This window comes from Homo sapiens, chromosome 16 (genome assembly GCF_000001405.40).
Source record: "Homo sapiens chromosome 16, GRCh38.p14 Primary Assembly".
Taxonomy (NCBI): domain Eukaryota; kingdom Metazoa; phylum Chordata; class Mammalia; order Primates; family Hominidae; genus Homo; species Homo sapiens.
The window spans coordinates 84,838,018-84,856,311 of record NC_000016.10 but is presented as its reverse complement, the minus strand read 5'-3'; the positions used below and the strand labels follow the sequence as shown (position 1 = coordinate 84,856,311).

The following is an 18,294-nucleotide window of genomic DNA, read 5'->3' as shown; positions in this document are numbered from 1 at the left end:
TACCGCTCCACAGTGGAGGTAAGGAAGAGTATGCGTGGAATACAGGAGCTCCCTTAGGGCATCTCTTAGTATTACCATGCCCTGTGATTAAGGTCAATGGGAAACTACAACAGCCTAATCCAGGCAGGACTACAAATGGTCCAGACCCTTTAGGAATGAAGGTTTGGGTCACTCCACCAGGAAAAAAACCATGACCTGCTGAGGTGCTTGCTGAAGGCAAAGGGAATACAGAATGGGCAGTAGAAGAAGGTAGTCATCAATACCAGCTATAACCACGTGACCAGTTGCAGATATGAGGACTGTAATTGTTATGAGTATTTCCTCCTTCTTTTGTTAAAAACTTGCTTGTGCATGTATACACTTGTACTAAGAAAATATCTTCATGTTATTTCCTTTTTCCTTCATCATGGGACATAAGATTTATTAACTTCATATCAGCATTTAAGTATTGTTAACTTTATGTCATAGTATTTGGGTTGGGGATTGGTGAGTTTCCAGTTTTACGAAGGATGGTTGTATTATGTTAGTGTAATTATGATCTTATTATTGTCTTTATTTGAAGATTATGTATGATCTCAGGAGATGTGTATGGGTTCAAGTTGACAAGGGGTGGACTTGTGATAGTTAATACTGAGTGTCAACTTGATTGGAGTGAAGGATGCAAAGCACTGATCCTGGGTGTGTCTGTGAGGGTGTTGCCAAAGGAGATTAACATTTGAGTCAGTGGGCTGGGAGAGGCAGACCCACCCGTAATCTGGGTGGGCACCAACTAATCAGCTGCCAGTGCAGCTAGGATATAAAGCAGGCAGAAAAATGTGAAAAGACTAGACTGACTTAGGTGGAGACTGGGAGCAGCCTCCATCTTTCTCCCGTGCTGGATGCTTCCTGCCCTCAAACATCGGGCTTGAAGTTGTTCCACCTCCAGACTCAGACTGGCTTTCTTGTTCCTCAACTTGCAGATGGCCTATTGTGGGATCTTGTGATCACGTGAGTTTAATACTCCTTAATAAACTCATATATACATATTTATATATATCCTATTAGTTCTGTCCCTCTAGAGAACCCTAATACATGGCCTCATATGGTCCTCCTGCCTCAGCCTCCCAAAGTGCTGGGATTACAGGTGTGAGCCACGATGTCCAGCCCGTGGCCTATTTTATATGAAACTGTGAATGCTAACGAGGGTGAGCAGTGCGTCTGCATTTAATGCTGTGTCCAGCATCTGCAGAGCCCGGCACAGGAGATGCCCATGGGAAGCCATGTCTCGGGGCAGTGGGGCTCTCCAGGGGCCTGGAAGCTGAGCCTAGACCCTGGAGATGAGGCTCAGCTCATCACGGAGGCGGGAGGAATGTGCTGAGAGCGTCTTAAATAGGGCCAGGAGGGGTGACTGACTTCTTTAATTCCCCTGTTTCATGTAACGCTGTCGCATGACTCAGACTGAGGGCAAATTCATTGCAAAAGTGTTGGGAGTAAATTTCCTACCTCGGTAACACAAGTTGTTCCTGCAGCTGCCTCCATAGCTGGGTGGGCACTCAGAGCAGGGCCGGCCATTCTTGTAGGGGGCTTCTCCAATCCAGTTCCCCCTGAGGACAGACCCAAAAACAACCGTCAGAGGGAACCACGACGTGAGGCCTCGGGACTGATCCTCTTCCAAGGCCCACGTGAGTCCCTGAACACCGCCACTGACAGGTCAGGGGGGAAGGTTGTGTGCTGTGGGAAGCGGGAAAGATGGCTATCCCAGGCCTCTCCCGTGCACAGAGAGTCTAGAGAGCTCCAGAATCCCAGCGATTCTGCAGAAGGGAGCTACAAGATGCCCTTCCACACAGTACCTTTGCCCTGGCTGGCTGTCAGCCCCGTGGCCCCCCTTCCACCAACACAGCTCTGAACACTGTTAGGGCCCCTAGATCACAACACCTTAGCGCTGAAAAGCTGCCAGGACCCCCTTTTAAGCCATTTCTCAAATGTGTAAAGCCAGCCTGTCCCAGAGACGGCTTGCGTTTCCCAGTTTTTACCACACACCATCCCTGGTCTGTGCCTTCACTGCACTCCTCACCCCATCTCCCCAACACCCCAGGAGGGAAGAGCTGGAATTCAATATTTTTGCAGAGGAGGAAACTGTGGCACAGTGAGGTTAAGTGACTTGCCCCAGGTCACAGGACAAGCAAGTGGCGGGGCTGGGATTTGAACACAGGCTGTCCGGCTCAGAGCCTTAGGCACACTCTACTCTAGGGGCTGGATCAAAGGTCCCTCTTGGGTCACAGTTGCCCTCTGCCTCCCTCCGGAGTTCCCAGGGGCAGGAAAACTGGAGGCCGCACCATAGGCTTTCTCCAGGGGCCAGGTAGAGGTGGTGAGCGGAATCCCCAGGCCCTTCCTGCGGCTCCTGGGCTGTGAAGAGCAGGCTCCCCGGCTTGGGCCCCAGGCTGCCAGCATGTGCCCTCGGCCAGCCTCCTCCAGCCCCAGCCTCGGTCTCCCTTTCTGTAAAATGGGATCACGGCAGCAGGGCTGCTGTGAGACTGAGGGAGTGACCGTGGGGAAGCCCTTGGACCGGCACCTGACTCACGGGGAAGGCTGTGCTCTGAGCGTTGGGGAAATCCACAGGCTTGTGCGGGGAACGCTCTGATGCTTTCCAGGGAAGATGGGGAGGGGCCCTGCCAGTGCTGGCCAAAGACAAACGGCAGGAAACACGCTCTGGGTCTGATAGGCATCCGTCCTTACAAGAGTGGCCTAGAACTTCCCGCGGCCCCAGAAGCACCCTGGCCTCACCGAGGGGCCTGTGGGCAGGGGAGGGACAGTGGGCCGTGCAGTGTGGGGAGGACAGGGCTGGCCACTGTCTGACTGGGCACTGTTATGACGTGCACACAGCCTCTTCCACCCTCTCACATTCCGGAGGCAGAATGATCGCGTCCGTGCCATGCCACAAGACATCCCTGCTCAGAAATCGTCTGTTCAGATCCCCGGGGGTCTTCGGGATGACTCCCCCAAAAAGAACATCACCAAGGGACCGAGAGGTCCCAGAGCCCATCCTGTCTCTGGGTGAAGCCCAGTAGGTTTCTCAGATGATCGTGGCCCTGTCGTGGGTACGTCCCACTGCCCCTGCCAAGTTTCCCCTTGTGTCTACGGTTCTATATTTCCTCAGACAAACCACACCACTGACGCTCCCAGCTCAACCCTAACACTCAGGGTTGGCATTGGTGGAAGGCTGGCTGGGCACCAGGTCCTGCAGACAAATAATCTCCTTAATTTTTGAGACAGGGTCTTGCTCTGTCACCCAGGCTGGAGTGCAGTGGTGTGACCACAGCTCACTGCAGCCTCAACCTCCTGGGCTCAAGCAATCCTCCCACCTCAGCCTCACAAGTAACTGGGAATACAGGCATGCACCACCACACCCAGCTAACTTTTTGTATTTTTCGTGGAGATGGGGTTTTGCCAGTTGCCAAGGCTGGTCTTGAACTCCTGGACTCAAGCGATTCTCCTGCCTCGGCCAAAGGAGGCTGGGATTACAGGCATGAGCCACCGCACTGGCCAGTCTCCTTAATTTTTGAATAGCACCGTGAAGTACCTTCCCTCACACACAAGGCCCTCTGTGTACACACCCACCCCACCCCTTGTCGGGTTGGGAATCCCCCTCAAGGGATCTGACCCCCCCCACACCCAAACTCACCCTCCCAGCCACCCTCCTCACCCTGGTGCCTGGGACAGTGTCCTGCATAGCCCAGGGGCTCAAGCCCTCTCTCTAAGACAGAGGCCATGGACAGCACGCAGTAATATGCAGCAGACAAAAGGAAAGAACCGGTGATCACGCAACACCACGGGGAGACCTCACCAATGTGATGTTGAGCAAAACACCATTTGGGGGTACAGGGAGTGTGCTGTGTGGCCCCCTTCATATGAGGTCCCACACCAGACACCACAGACCGATGGGAAAGATGCTAGAATGGTGGGCACTTTGTAGGGCACGAGAGAGCCTCTGGGGCATGGGAGACACTGTCCATCTCCATCTGGATGGTAGTTACACGGGTAGAGGGCTATTGCCGTGGACTTTCATTATGTGTCTCCCCAAATCCCAGTGTTGAAACCCTCACCCACAATGTGACTGTACTTGGAGACAGGGCCTTGATGAAACTAATTAAGGTTAAACGACGTCAACAGGTGAAGTCCTGACCCAATAGGATTGATGTCCTCATCTCTCACCACCATGTAAGATAGTGGCCGTTGGTGAGCCAGGAAGAGAGCTCCCACTGGAGCCCGATGCTGCCACCCCTTGATCTGCCACACCTTGATCTGCCACCCCTTGGTCCAGGGGACTTCTAGCCTCCAGAATGGTGAGACATAAAAGTCTGATGTGTAAGCTGCCCAGGCTGTGGCCTCTGTTGTTGCAGCCCCAACAGACTAATGCATGTGAGACTGTGTCGCACTGTATACTTCAGATGAGTATATTTTACCATATGGAGGTTATTCCTTCTTTTAAGGAAGCAGGGGGCAGCTACAGAAGGAAATAATTTCATTTCTGATAGGACCTTCTAGTGTCTATTTTTTATAGAGTCAAGTCAAATGATTCCTCATTCACCACCTGCCACTGGGCCAGGAATTCCACCACCTTGGACCAGTCTGCTGCTCTTGCATGGTGCCTGCGTCCCTCCCAGGCAATGACACACCCGCTGCGCTCATCCATGTGGGCTGCTGAGCCGCGCCACGCCACCGCAGGCACACCAGATGGTTTTGAGAGGGCTTCTATTTTTCCTCCCAACCTCAGCGATTCCCCCTTCATCCCACCTTTTCATAACTACTCCTGACCCAAAACAAATAAATGAGGTCATTCCCATTTCATTCAGTCACTGAGCAAACATGCCCCGGGGCCCACTCTACACAGGGCACGGGGCAAGAACGGCGGTGGCCAGCGGCCAGCATGCAAACCTCAGGCCATGAACTGGGGGAGTGACTCTCCAAGAATCAGCACATATTTGTCCCATGAGCAAATGAGTCAAGGGCTGGACACCACACTGATGAGCTGAGCATGCTATAGGCGGAGGAGGCACCATGATCAGGAGGCCGCATGTGGACCCTCTTTGGAGGGAAACAGAGAAGCTAGGCTTTGTGTGAACATGTGTTTTCTAGGGTGCTGTCTACTGCATGTTTTCAGAGAAAAATAATCATACTGCCAGGGCAGACCATGCTGGTTGCCCAGCCAGCAGCTATTCCCACTTCTGACTTTGTTCAGTTGGTCCCAGAGGACGTCTTGCAAAGCCAGTTGGGGCAATCTTTTTCCCCCTCATCTATGATTGGTCTAATTCTGGCAAAGAACATAAGGAGAAAGTATGCCAGTGTGCAAAAGACCTAAGGAGAGAGCCCTTTGACCATCCTTCCTTGTGCTTGGGGAGATGTGATGTTGGTGCTGTGCAGCCATCTTGGGACCATGAGGAGAGAATGGTACGGCAGGAAGACGGAAAGAACCCGAGTCCTTGTTGACACTGCTTAGCTATTACGCTAACCCAGATGCACTAAACTCTAGATTCTTTGTTATGTGAGATATTAAAGACTTCGCTGCTCAAGCCAGTTTTCACTGGGTGCTCCCTGGCAAGCAAACACATCCCAACCCCCACCCCATACAACGGCATCAACTTGTCTTACTTTGGAGAATAATTGCAGACAAAGTAGACCGCGTTCTCCCAAACTTCTCCCCAGACAGTCATCTTCCGGCAGGTGTTCACAGCACAACCGATCTTGTTGGTGGTGGCCCAAACTATCTGAAAAGATGACATTTGTGTGTCACAGCTCGAGGGATAAGGCACAAAAGGGTGATATCATTTGGCCTGGATGTATAAGGTGCTGGCACTAAAGAGGTACGAGGTGAAGGGTTGGGGAAGCAGATATTAGTCCCTAACCCATTGAAGATACATACATTTTCTTAAAAAGCAAAGCAAGTGGGCCGGTGCGGTGGCTCACGCCTGTCATCTCAGCATTTTGGGAGGCTGAGGTGGGCGGATCATGAGGTCAGGAGTTTGAGACCAGCCTGACCAACATGGTGAAACCCCATCTCTACTAAAAAAACAAAAATTAGCCGGGCGTGGTGGCAGGCACCTATAGTCCCAGCTACTCAGGAGGCTGAGGCAGGCGAATCGCTTGAACCCAGGAGGCAGAGGTTGCGGTGAGCCAAGATCGTGCCACTGCACTCCAGCCTGGGCGACAGAGGGAGACTCCGTTTCAAAAAAAAAAAAAGCAAGCAAACAAACAGACTCCCACACAATGAAAATGCCCCACAATGTCAAATTGCCATAGAAGTTTTCTCGGTTGAGTGCAGTAGCTCACAACTGTAATCCCAACACTTTGGGAAGCTGAGCGGGGAGGATTGCATGAGCCCAGGAGTTTGCGACTAGCCTGGACAACATAGCCAGACCCATCTCTAAAAAAAAAAAAAAAAATACAAAAATTAGCCAGGCCTCGTAGTGCACAACTGTAGTCCCAGGTACTCAGGAGGCTGAGGTGGGAGGATTGCTTGAGCCCAGGAGTTTGGGGCTGCACTAAGCTAACTAAGATCATGCCACTGCACTCCAGCCCAGGTAGCAGGGAGACACTGCCTCAAAGAAAAAAAAGAGTTTGTAGTGCTCACTCAGTTTCTGACCTTGCTGGTAACAAACAGCTTCTTCTCCCAGCTGTACTCTGTATAGAACTGAATTTTTAAAAATGAAGGCAACAACAGCGCAGAGGCTTTACAGATTTGACAATCCCCCAGGGGCAGGGGGTGAATGACTGGGATTGGGGGGCAGGGCTGAGGTCGTGGCAAGTCCCCGAGTTACCTGTGTGTAGTGCGTGCACATGGGCCCCGAGCACCTCTCTGGACACCAGGGGTTGCACTCGCTCGGGTAGGGGTAGGTGTAGTCCTTCACCTCGTCATACCAGGACTGCACATGGAACCCCGGAGAGCGATACCTGCAGGGCAGAAACCGCTCACTCAGTCCCAGCCCCTCCCCTCACCCACCAGTGGAGACAGCAGCAGCCACGGGCAGGTAGGAGGGAGGGAGGCCGAGGAGGGTGAATAGCGGCCAATTCCAGGAGCAGCCACGGGCAGCCGGGAGGGAGGGAGGCCGAGGAGGCGGAATAGCCCCCAATTCCAGGAGCAGCCACGGGCAGCGAGGAGGGAGGGAGGCCGAGGTGGGGGAATAACCCTCAATTCCAGCAGCACCTGGTACAGGTGCTTAATACCATTATCCTTGAGGAGCTCACCTGGGGTCTCTAGTAGGCTCCTCAGGTGGCTCATACACCACCTGCACGTGCAGGAATCTCTTCACCTGGCTCTTAATGAGTCCTTTCTTTTTTTTTTTTTTTTTTGAGACGGAGTCTCGCTCTGTCGCCCAGGCTGGAGTGCAGTGGCGGGATCTCGGCTCACTGCAAGCTCCGCCTCCCGGGTTCACGCCATTCTCCTGCCTCAGCCTCCCAAGTAATGAGTCCTTTCTTATGTCAATTAGGTGTTTATTTTCAGGTACGTTGGAGAAAAACTATCCAGCCCATGAAGCCCGTATTTCACAGATATTGTTGTCTAAGACAAAACCTGATGAAGACGTGAGTGCACTTAAGGCCGAACATGGTGGCTCATGCCTGTCATCCCAGCACTTTGGGAGGCTGAGGCGGTAGGATCACCTGAGGTCAGGAGTTGGAGACCAGCCTGGCCGACATGGCGAAACCCCGTCTCTACTAAAAATACAAAAATTAGCCGGGCGAGGTGGTGCATGCCTGTAATCTGCAGCCACCAGCTGCACCTGTCCCTGGACATCCTCCGTGGGGTCATCGCTTCATGCCCACCACCCCCTTGCTTCAGCCTTGGCTGCCAAGGTTGGCACCATTTTTTTTTTTTTTAATAACTAGGGAGAAAACCAAACTGGAGGCAAGTCCACAGTCACACTGTCACCAGCAAGTATAAACAAAGTGGTTTCGATGAAGAGAAAATGCTCACGGGGGAAATGACCATTTTTAAGGGCCATGTGGTCGTCGAGGCAGTTAGAGGTCTTGTAACAATTACTGTCTGGAAGCGGAGCGCACGGCAGCGGGCAGCGGCATTTGCAGAAAGGCGTGCACACAGTGAGGAGGCAGGAGCAGAGGGCTGCTGGCCACTCATCCGCTTCCCTGCGGCTCAAGGTCACGCAGACTCAAGGCTGGCACTGGCATGGCTGTGGGGAAAGGAACCCGCGGCTGCCCCGGGGGGCCATGCAGAGTCAGGGGCTCTTTTGCAAAGCAAGTTAGCAAAATTCCTTAAGAAAGGGGGAAGTCTGTGTGCCCTTTGGCCCAGCAATCCTACTTCTCAGGAGTAATCCTAATGAAATCATTCAAGTGAGACAAAGACAAAAACAAAAAACAAAAATGAATCTGCAAGAGCCAACGGGTCAACTTTGGTCTGTCCACAGAGGGATCATTAGGGCATTTGCAGGGCGACATTCATGACAACTGTATCACTGAAAATTTCCTGATATTGTATGAAAAGGAAAAAGAAAAAGATTTCAAAGTGATCCAGGCTACAGTCTCAATGCTGTAAAACTACGTCGGCGCCCAGCCAGGTGCTGCAAAGGAGCTCAGAAAAATGAAAAGAGCCGAACCAGGCTAGTGGAATTCCAGATCTCCCTGCTTTAGACACTTCACTTTCATGTTATTGTAAGATTTTTTTTTTTTTTTGAGACGAATTCTTGCACTGTCACCCAGGCTGGAGTACAATGGTGCAATCCTGGCTCACTGCAGCCTCCGCCTCCAGGGTTCAAGCGATTCTCCTGCCTCAGCCTCCCAAGTAGCTGGGATGACAGGCGCCTGCCACCACGCCTGGCTAATTTTTTGTATTTTTAGTAGAGACGGGGTTTCACTATGTTGGCCAGGATAGTCTTGAACTCCTGACCTTGTATTCTGCCCACCTTGGCCTCCCAAAGTGCTGGGATTACAGGCATGAGCCACCTTGCCCAGCCTGTAAGATAGTTTTTATAAAAAGCTAACTTCACCAAAGAAAAAACCATGGTGTGGATTTGCCTCTGTGAAGTCACCGCGGTCGATCCACCATGACACCTGCCCAGGTTTGTCCTGAAAACCCACGGATGCAGAGGAAGGTGCGGCTGCCCGTGGCCCAGTGAAACCCAAGCTAGGAAATCCCTCTGTGGGAAGTGAAAGCAAACGCTCACCTACATTTTAAGAGGCTGTCTAAAGCCCATTCCAACTTTTCAATAATTAGGGCAAAATGGATGTCAATCCAGGTCCTGGATGGGTCTGAGGACGTGAATTCTGGCCTTGGGCATGGCACGGTCACAGGTTGGTCGTTAAGTCTTATGTGGTCTTAGTTGTTATCCTGGGCGTGGTCAAAAGACATTTTTCCACTTTCTCCAATGAAACCAGCCGTCAGCCCCCAGGAGGGGACTTCTGGGTTCTTTGGGAGCACGGATACATGGTCCAGCTTACTCTGGGGAAGGCCCGTCGGCTGCATTTAACAGACAACCGTCAATGCCTCCTATGGGAGAGGGGACAAATCGCTCCCAGACAGGGAAGGAGAGGGGACAGAACACTGCCAGACAGGGAAGCCTCGGGGGTCTGGAGAAGTTAGTGAGCTTCCCGACGGCTGGATGACGCGGGGAAGGCAATGGGCATCTTCCCAACAGGGTGGAACCTGGCTCAGCCTTAAACAGTGAGCAGAACCAGACAGAAATGACCCACCATGAACAGAGCAGTTCACCCCACAGGAACGGGGACTCAAGAACCCTGCACAGGAGATGGAATGGAAACCCCAAACTACAGGCCAGGCGCGGTGGCTCATGCCTGTAATCCCCGCACTTGAGGAGGCCAACGTGGGTGGATCACTTGAGGCCAGGAGTTCGAGACCACCCTGGCCAATATGGTGAAACCCTGTCTCTACCAAAAAATACAAAAATTAGCCAGGCGTGGTGGCACATGCCTATAGTCCCAGCTACTTGGGAGGCTGAGGCTCGAGAATCACTTGAACCCAGGAGACAGAGGTTGCAGTGAGCCGAGATTGCGCCACTGCACTCCATCCTGGATGACAGAATAAGACCCTGTCAAGAAAAGAAGGAAGGGAAGGGGAGGGGAGGGGAGGGGAAGGGAGGGAAGGGAAGGAGGGAGGAAGGGAGGGAGGAAGGAAGGAAGGAAAGGAAGAAGGAAAGGAAGAAGGAAAGGAAGAAGGAAAACCCAAACTACAAACTTTAATCAATCATCAGTGTCTGGGGTCAGCCAACCAAGCTTGAATACATTTTGTCAGTCACTCAGGAGTGTTCCTGGATGCCAAGCCTCAGTTTCCCAGAATATCGATGGGACGGGTGGTCTCTCTCACTCTCTTTGCAGGCTAAACTTGATAAGGGGCACAAGTGCTGAGCCCGGCACACGGCAGTGGGGTCCTGCGGCAGCCGGAGAGGAACTTGTGGCTCTTACCTGCCCCAGTGAGCGCCCAGGTTCTGCCCGATGGACACCAGCAGACTGGTGGGCCCGTGCTCCCAGATGCACTGACTGGCCCACGCTGCAGCAGACTTCTCCAGTTCGTCATCCCAGGTCTGCAGGAGAAGGAGAAACGGGCACCAGGAGGTGAGGGTGAGGGAGGGGCATAAGAACCATAAATACAGCAACGCCCCAGCCTGGGCTCCTGTGGAGCCTACAGCCAATGCTCTGCTGCTGTATTGCTGGGTTCCTAAATCAGCCAGGGGGGCGTGGCAGGCCAGACGTGCCGGCTCCAAGCCTATCCTCAGGCCTCCTGCTGGGCCTCTAACTTGCCAGAGGTCCTGGGCAGGTGCCTTCTCTCTGGGCCTCAGTGTCTGTGAAACAGGAGTGGCCATGCTGAGTGACCTCTGAGGGTAACACGGCACGCTGTGTGGAAGACAAGGGAAGGTCAGCAGCCATCTCTAGGGACGGTCTTGGCCTGGAAGCCTGTCCCGATGACCCCAGTCTCCTCTCCTTATGCATGTTCCAGGCACACCAGGCTTCCTCTCCTTACTACGCATGATCCAGGCACACCAGGCTTCCTCTCCTTACTACGCATGTTCCAGGCACACCAGGCCTCGGGCTTTACCCCAACCTTTTCATTGCATTCTAACAGGGGGCTCCGAAGCGGGCCCTTATCTCCATTTCACAGGCAAGCAAACCAAGGCTTGAAGAAGCAATGCCATTTTCCCTGGGTCCCACAGCCAGTCACAGAACCAGGATCTGAACCCAGGTCTTCAGGACCTTGGACCCTGAGCTGTCTCCATGTACGCAGTTATGTGTGGACCACAGCAGGTAATAATCAGATGCTATTCCTAGGCCAGGGGCTAGAAATCAATTATCCGGGTGGCGTTGGATTGGCGCTCTGAATGCTGGTCCTGGAATGGCAGTGTGAACCTAGGCACGCAGTTACCCTCTCTGAGCCTCACTGTCCTCATCTGTAATGTGGGTATGTCCATGGCCCTCACTGTGAGCAGTAATGGGGAGGGGAAGCCTACAAGATGCCCAGCCCAGGGCCTGGCTGCAGTCAGGGAGGCTTTATCCACGTCAGCGACACACAGGCCTGCAAAGAAAAGCAGACGAGGGCCCCTGCAGGGGATTTTAGACTCTCACTGGCCACCCGCAGGGCAACACAGCAAGAAGGGCCCCGAGATGAATGGATGCCGCATTTCAGTTGGAAGATAGAAAGTGCCGGAGATGGGCCCGGAGCAGTGGCTCACGCCTGTAATCCCAGAACTTTGCGAGGCTGAGGCGGGCAGATCACTTGAGGTCAGGAGTTGGAGACCCGCCTGCCCAACATAGTGAAACCCCGTCTCTACTAAAGATACAAAAATTAGCCGGGCCTGGACAAAGTAAGACTCTGTCTCAAAAAAAAAAGAAAGAAAAGAAAAGAAAAGAAAGTGCCAGAGATGGATGGCGGGGATGGTTGCACAACAGTGTGAATGTACCTAATGCCACAGAACTGCACACTTAAAAATGGTTACAATGGTCAATTTTATAGTCCGTATACTTTACCACAATGAGAAGAAATTGACAAGAGACGTCTTCAGCTTGCCCAGCCCTGCTCACCTCCCAGCACGGCCCATCCTGAATCAGTGGGGCCTGAGCAGGGGTCTGGGCAGAGACTCTGAAGACAGGCTGGCCCCAGGAACACACATGACTCCTGGGGAGAGAATTCCATGAACAGAGCAAGCGTGTCCTTTCTCCTCTGTGGAGGAACAGATGCCAGGCAGCCCTGGCACAGCTGGCAGCTGACGCTGCACTTCCTCCCTGGAGTCCTCCCGACAGATGCTCCAGCTTTAAGCAGGCAGAGGCTGGCCTCCTGCCCTCTGCACACCCAGCCCCGGGCACACAGCAGATGCTCAGGGAAGACAGTCCTGTCTTAGCCCTGGGACCCCCCAGCAGGGAGTACCTGCCCAACACAACCGCATGCCTCACTTCCCTCTCTCCCCGTGTCCCAGCAAGACTCCTCAACAGCCAAGGGGCAACAAACCTTGAGTCTTGGAGAGGTTAAGTAGCATGCCTGAGGTCACACAACCAGGAAGTCTTTCACAACCCCCTCTTGTCTGGCTACTAAGGGGGCTCTTCCTGCCTTGCATACTGTAACCAAGTGCCAGACCCATCCCACGAAAATCATAAGTTACTAAAATATGCTAATGCAACATGCTGACTGTGCAATATACTAAATGATAACAGCATCATTCACATTTACTTGGAACTGATTTATGCATTATCTCATTGCCTCCTCCAAACAACCCTATGAGAAAGGGTTTCTTGTTCCCATCATGCAGGTGAGGAAATATAAACAGAAAGGCTAAGCAATCTGCCCGAAGTCACAAAGCTGGCCAGTGACAGAGCTGGCTGGACGGAGGCAGGCTGGCTCCAGAGCCTGTCCACTCATAAAACCTCAGAACGGGCTGCTCAACTCTTTGGGGTTTTAGAATCCACCTTTCAGTGCTAAGGCTGTTTCAAAGGACTGTGGCTTGAAGCCACAGCAGGCAGGGTTGAGCAGGAAGCCACGTTTCCAAGCCGCTTTCTCAAATCTGCATTGCTTGTTTGGGTGTGAACCAGAGCAGAGGGGCAATGCAGCGCAGTGCTGAGGGTGCCGGGCTGAGTGGCAGGGCCCCTGCCACCCCATCCTTTCAGCCTCCTTGCTCCGAGGTAGCCTCAGTAGCATCCATGAAGGCTCAGCCTCCCCAGCAGGCCGGCCTTTTAGACCAAAGGACCCAGATCCCAGCTCCAATCCTGAAACATCACCAAGTAAACAAACAGGAAAACATGAAAGGCCTGCTCTGGGCTGCCCGGGCGGCCTGACTTTCCCTGCTGCAAAGAAGCTCCTTTCACTGGCACTAAGTCTTGCATGAAACCGGGAGGACCACACAGTGCAGGGACAAGAAGACCAGCATGAACCCAGCCTGCTCCAGACCGGGAGGCGGGAAGCATCTGGGATCCTGGGGGTCGCAGCTCAGTCAAGCTCCAGTCCCAGATGCTGACAACCTCTCCAGAGAGACGTGGGGCCTCCCTGCCCCATGAGGACCAAGGCCAAGCCACCAGGGATGCGCGGATTCAATGGGTCTCAACGTTCCCATGGCCCCTTTCCTTTCATTTCTCATAAAGCAACTCTCCCAACAGCATGTTCCAACAAGCCCCCTCTGCTCTCAGAAATTGGCGGCGAAAAAGAAAAACGTAGGTTGGGCACAGTGGTTCATGCCTGTAATCCCAGCACTTTGGGAGGCTGAGGTGGGCGGATCACCTGAGGTCAGGAATTCAAGACCAGCCTGGCCAACGTGGTGAAACCCCGCCTCTACCAGAAATACAAAAATTAGCCGGGTGTGCTGGTGCGCACCTGTCGTTCCAGCTACTCAGGAGGCTGAGGCAGGAGAGTCGCTTGAACCGGGAAGTGGAGGTTGCAGTGAGCCGAGATAGCACCACTGCACTCCAGCCTAGGCGACAGTGCTAGAATCTGTCTCAAAAAAAAAACAATAAGAAAGAAAGAAAGGAAGGAAAGAAGGAAGGAAAGAAGGAGGGAGGGAGGGAGGGACGGAGGGCGGGCAGGCAGGCAGGCGGGGAGGGAGGGAGGGAGGGAGGCTAACTGACTTGGAAGAGGAGGGGAGCGTGGCACGAGGGAACGCAGTGACTCTGAGGGAAGGCTTGCAGGTTTTCCAGCCTCTGCTCTGCCCCTTCAGAAACAGCCCCCGGGCAGGGTTGCTCTGCTTCCAGGAGCCTTTCTCACGGTGCGGTGTGTCCAGAGCTTGGAGAAAGACAGAAAGCCCAGCCAGAAAACCAGTGTAGCCCTGACCCATGGGCAATGCCTCCCAGGTCTCCGGAACGGCTCTTTGTTCTTCACTCCCCGCCTCCCGCCCAAATACCGCCCCGTCACTCCTCACCTGCCCGTCACCTGAGCCGCCTCCCTGCTTCCTGCTGCGCCCTCCAATCCCCAACACCGCACAGCAGCAAAAGTGTTTCACAGCCAGGCGCAGTGGCTCACTCCTGTAATCCCAGCACTTTGGGAGGCTGAAGTGGGTGGATCACCTGAGGCCAGGAATTTGAGACCAGCCTGGCCAACATGGCAAACACCGTCTCTACTAAAAATACAAAAATTAGCTGGCCATGGTGGTGGGCACCTATAATCCCAACTACTTGGGAGGCCGAGACAGGAGAATCGCTTGAACCCAGGGGTCGGGGGTTGCAGTGAGCCGAGATCACGCCACTGCACTCCAGCCTGGGGGACAGAGCGAGACTCTGTCTCAAAAAAAAAAAGTGCTTCACAGTCATAAATGCATCCTCTCCCGCAAAAAAACCCTGTTTCTTTTTTTTTCTTTTTTACCCCCATTTCAGCAATACCAAAACTCTATTCCTCATAGAAAAAAAGGCAGGCTCCTCACCTAGCCTCAAAGCCCTGTGTGATTTGCCCCTGCCTGCCTCTCTGACCTCTTCCAATGGCCTCACTCCCTCAGAAATGAGCCATGGCCCTGCTGGCTTTTTGAGAGCTCCTCTGAGACCCGAAGCTTTTCTCCCGTTAAGGAAAGAGACTCACGAGGCGGTGGTGGCTTTCACACCTTCTGTTCCCTCTGCCCAGAACACCCTTCCCTGCACGCTTGCTTGCTCAACCATGCTCACTCTTCAGGTCTTAACTGAGATGGCTCCTCCGCAGAGTGGGCCACCCTTACTCCTCCCTCTCAGTCAGGATTCTTCCACCCCTAACGTTCTTTCTTGCAGCTCCCCGTATTTCTTCATCTAACTCTGCACAACTCATAATCATGCCTCTTCCGGGAATCCAGGACAGTGCCTGGCACATCGAAGGTGCTCCACAAATACTTCCTGGCTACACTAGTCCGGAGGTGCCGTGTGGACGGGGACCTCATCTGCTTTGTCCACCTCTTTATAGCAAGAATCTCACGGGGTGCTGGGCACACGGGAGGCACTCAAAAATACATAGAATTCACCAGTTGATTAAATATCAGGTATGTGGAAGGCAGAGAAGCAGAGCCTCCTACCCACACATTCAATAAATATGTATAGGCCGGGCACGGTGGTTCATGCCTGTAATCCCAGCACTGTCGGAGGCTGAGGTGGGTGGATCACTTGAGGTCAGGAGTTTGTGACCAGCCTGGCCAACATGGTGAAATCCCGTCTCTAATAAAAATACAAACATGGTGAAACCCCGTCTCTAATAAAAATACAAAAAATTAGCCTGGCGTGGTGGTGCAAGCCTGTAATCCCAGCTACTCAGGAGGCAGAGTCAGGAGAATTGCTTGAACCCAGGAGCCAGAGGTTGCAGTGAGCCGAGATGGCACCATTGCACCCCAGCCTGGACGACAGGGCAACACTCTGTCTCAAAAACAAACAAACAAACAGAAACAATAAATACGTATTAGCACCTTCTATGTGCAGGTTTTGGGGACAGACAGGGTGGCTTTGAATCCCAGCTTCACCATTTGTACATTTGTAGCTGTGTGGTTTGTACAAGTCCTTTAAAGATGAACCTCTCTGAGCCTCAGTTTTCTCTTCTGCAAATTGGTGCTAATACTTTCTATTTTCCAGGATTACTGTCAGGATTAAAGAGGACACAATTCACGTGGCACGTAATAGCCACTCAACCCTCATGCCACGACCCTCCATGGCAGCTTTGTGGGGGAGACACGGGTCATCACCCAGGCCAGCTCAGCCTGTGGCAAAGGAACGTGACCACAGCTTTAAAGACACAGATGAGACGGCAGCGTGTCTCTCAGAGCAATCACAGCAGGGGGCCATGGGTGCATTCCAAAGACATGATGATGCCTGTACCCACAAAGTGGCAAAGACTCAGACTCTGGGGGAGATGTGGATTTTTTTTTTTTTTTTGAGACAGGGTCTTGCTCTGTCACCCAGGCTGGAGTGCAGTGGTGCAATCTCAGCTCACTGCAGCCTTGACTTCCCAGGCTCAAGCGATCCTCCTTCCTCAGCTCCCACCCCCCACCTCCACCTCCACCTCAGTCCCACTGCAGCTGGGACTACAGGTGCGCACCACCATGCCCGGCTAACTTGGATTTTTTTGTAGAGACGGGGCTTTACCATGTTACCCAGGCTGGGACGTGGGTTTGTTTAAAAAGCCATTCATAGCTGACGGATGGCCAAGGTGGAGGCTCCCGGTTGGTGGACGAGGAGGGACCCTGGAAGACTGTGGTCCATTCCTCTGTAGTTCTGGAAAACCAGCCAGGAAGGAAGTTTCCACACTGGAGCTTGGGGTCAAGTAGCAGCATCGCCCAACCACACCTGGAACACCCATCACAATCACCCGGGAGGGTTGACCTTGGCTGTCTTCTGTCACCGTTAGCTCCTTTCCCGGTTAGCAAAGCCTAGGGGTTGGGGAGGCAGGGTCAGTCTGTGCCGGGCCCTTCACAGCCTCGACTTATCTCACAGTCATGGCAACCACGCGAGGAAGGACTCTCCAAGTGGAAAGTGAGGCTCACACGGGCTAAGGAGAAGTCAGGGTGGTGCAGCTAGCGTGTGGCACAGCTGAGATCAGCATCAGCAAAGCCCAGCCCTGGGCCCCTCCCCACTCTGCCTCCAGGTGGGAAAGGCTGAGAGCTGTGTTCCCAGTGGAGCTACCAAGAGTGACATGAAGGCAACGAGGCAGGCTCTGCACAGGGAACCCACGTGTGTTGTTTTGGCAGAATGTTAAGAACAGAGCCAGAGCCAGACAGGGTGACTCATGCCTATAATCCTAGCACTTTGAGAGGCTGAGGCAGGAGGATTGCTTGAGCCTAGGAGTTCAAGACCAGCCTGGGCAACGTAGCAAGACCCCCATCTCCACAAAATATTTAAAATCTAGCTGGGCACCATGGTGCATGCCTGTAGTTCCAGCTACTTGGGAGGCTGAAGCAGGATCGCTTAACCCCGGGAGTCTAAGGTTTCAGGGCATGACGATTGTGCCATTGCACTCCAGCGTCAGTGGCAGAGTGAGACCCTGTCTCAAAACAAACAAACAAAACAGAACAGAGCCGGGATCCTCCCCTGCCAGAGGAGACCCTGAGCCAGCCATCACACGCACTGGCTGGGGAACAGAGCTGGCTGGGGAACAGAGCAGGCTGGTGGCCCAGGCCCCACCCCCGGTGCCAGCCTCTGCGGCCGGAGCCGGCGCTCACCATGTACTCCATGTTGGAGGCCTGAGGCTGCACCTGGCCCCGAAGCTTGTTGTGCAGCATGAGGATCTCCTCCTTGTCCTCCCTGGGGATGGCTCTGCGGACCCGGGAGTGAGACTCGTTGTGCTGGTATTTGCTGAGCAGCTCCTCTAAGAGAGTGACGTTGGGCAGGAGGTAGCCTTGGGATCCGCAGACCAGGAACAGCAGCCCCAAGGGGATGACACCACCCAGGACGCAGCTCATGGCTCCACTCCTGCAGCAACTATGGGACTCACGGGGCAGCCTGGGCTCCTCGGGCAGAGCTGGGCGCTTGAGCTCTGAAAGGAAGCAGAGGGTGGTGGGAGAAGTCGCATTAGTAGGAGCCGGTCACAGCGCTGGCTGGAGCAGCGAACGCAGCACACACGACTCTCTCCATTTTACAGATGCGGAAACTGAGGCCCACAGAAGCTAAACAAGCAAGGTCCCACAGACAGGAAGTGGTGGAGCTGGGATTTACGCCAAGGGTTTCCAGCGAGGCAAGCTGTCAGGATTCCAAAGAGGATAACCTAGAACAGTTCTTCCTGGACTCAAGTTTTCCTTGAGCGAGTCCCTGCATTTTCTAATTATGAGTCAGCATCTCTTATTCATTCAGGACTCAGGTGAATCTCAGGCACAAATTAGCTTCTATCACCTGCCCCAAGGGGATTGCTAAAGTCATTTCCCATCACCAAAGGATGCTCCG

At 53.4% G+C, this 18,294-nt stretch overlaps 1 protein-coding gene across 2 annotated transcripts in view, besides 3 other annotated features; it reads right to left on the bottom strand.

Moving 5' to 3' along the window:
• CRISPLD2 (cysteine rich secretory protein LCCL domain containing 2) overlaps positions 1–18,294 on the bottom strand; it is an 89,524-nt gene that overhangs the window by 53,197 nt on the left and 18,033 nt on the right. For both annotated transcript variants that reach the window (XM_005256190.2, NM_031476.4), the window contains 5 exons: positions 17,577–17,890; positions 10,408–10,526; positions 6,795–6,927; positions 5,629–5,744; positions 1,483–1,583 (listed from right to left, as the gene is read on the bottom strand). In XM_005256190.2, coding sequence (XP_005256247.1) covers positions 1,483–1,583; positions 5,629–5,744; positions 6,795–6,927; positions 10,408–10,526; positions 17,577–17,816 — 709 coding nt within the window. In that variant the 5' untranslated portion in view covers positions 17,817–17,890. The remainder of the gene's footprint in view (positions 1–1,482; positions 1,584–5,628; positions 5,745–6,794; positions 6,928–10,407; positions 10,527–17,576; positions 17,891–18,294) is intronic.
• Positions 4,800–5,301: an enhancer, noted in NCBI's record as "H3K4me1 hESC enhancer chr16:84884617-84885118 (GRCh37/hg19 assembly coordinates)". NCBI's record gives its function as "activates a minimal SCP1, AML or CMV promoter by ChIP-STARR-seq in naive H9 embryonic stem cells {active_cell/tissue: H9 hESC(naive)}" and the evidence as "EXISTENCE:reporter gene assay evidence [ECO:0000049][PMID:30033119]".
• Positions 9,693–9,929: a silencer, noted in NCBI's record as "fragment chr16:84879989-84880225 (GRCh37/hg19 assembly coordinates)". NCBI's record gives its function as "represses an EF-1alpha promoter that drives an FKBP-Casp9 reporter gene in an ReSE screen in HepG2 liver carcinoma cells {active_cell/tissue: HepG2}" and the evidence as "EXISTENCE:reporter gene assay evidence [ECO:0000049][PMID:32094911]".
• Positions 10,712–11,441: an enhancer, noted in NCBI's record as "NANOG-H3K4me1 hESC enhancer chr16:84878477-84879206 (GRCh37/hg19 assembly coordinates)". NCBI's record gives its function as "activates a minimal SCP1, AML or CMV promoter by ChIP-STARR-seq in naive H9 embryonic stem cells {active_cell/tissue: H9 hESC(naive)}" and the evidence as "EXISTENCE:reporter gene assay evidence [ECO:0000049][PMID:30033119]".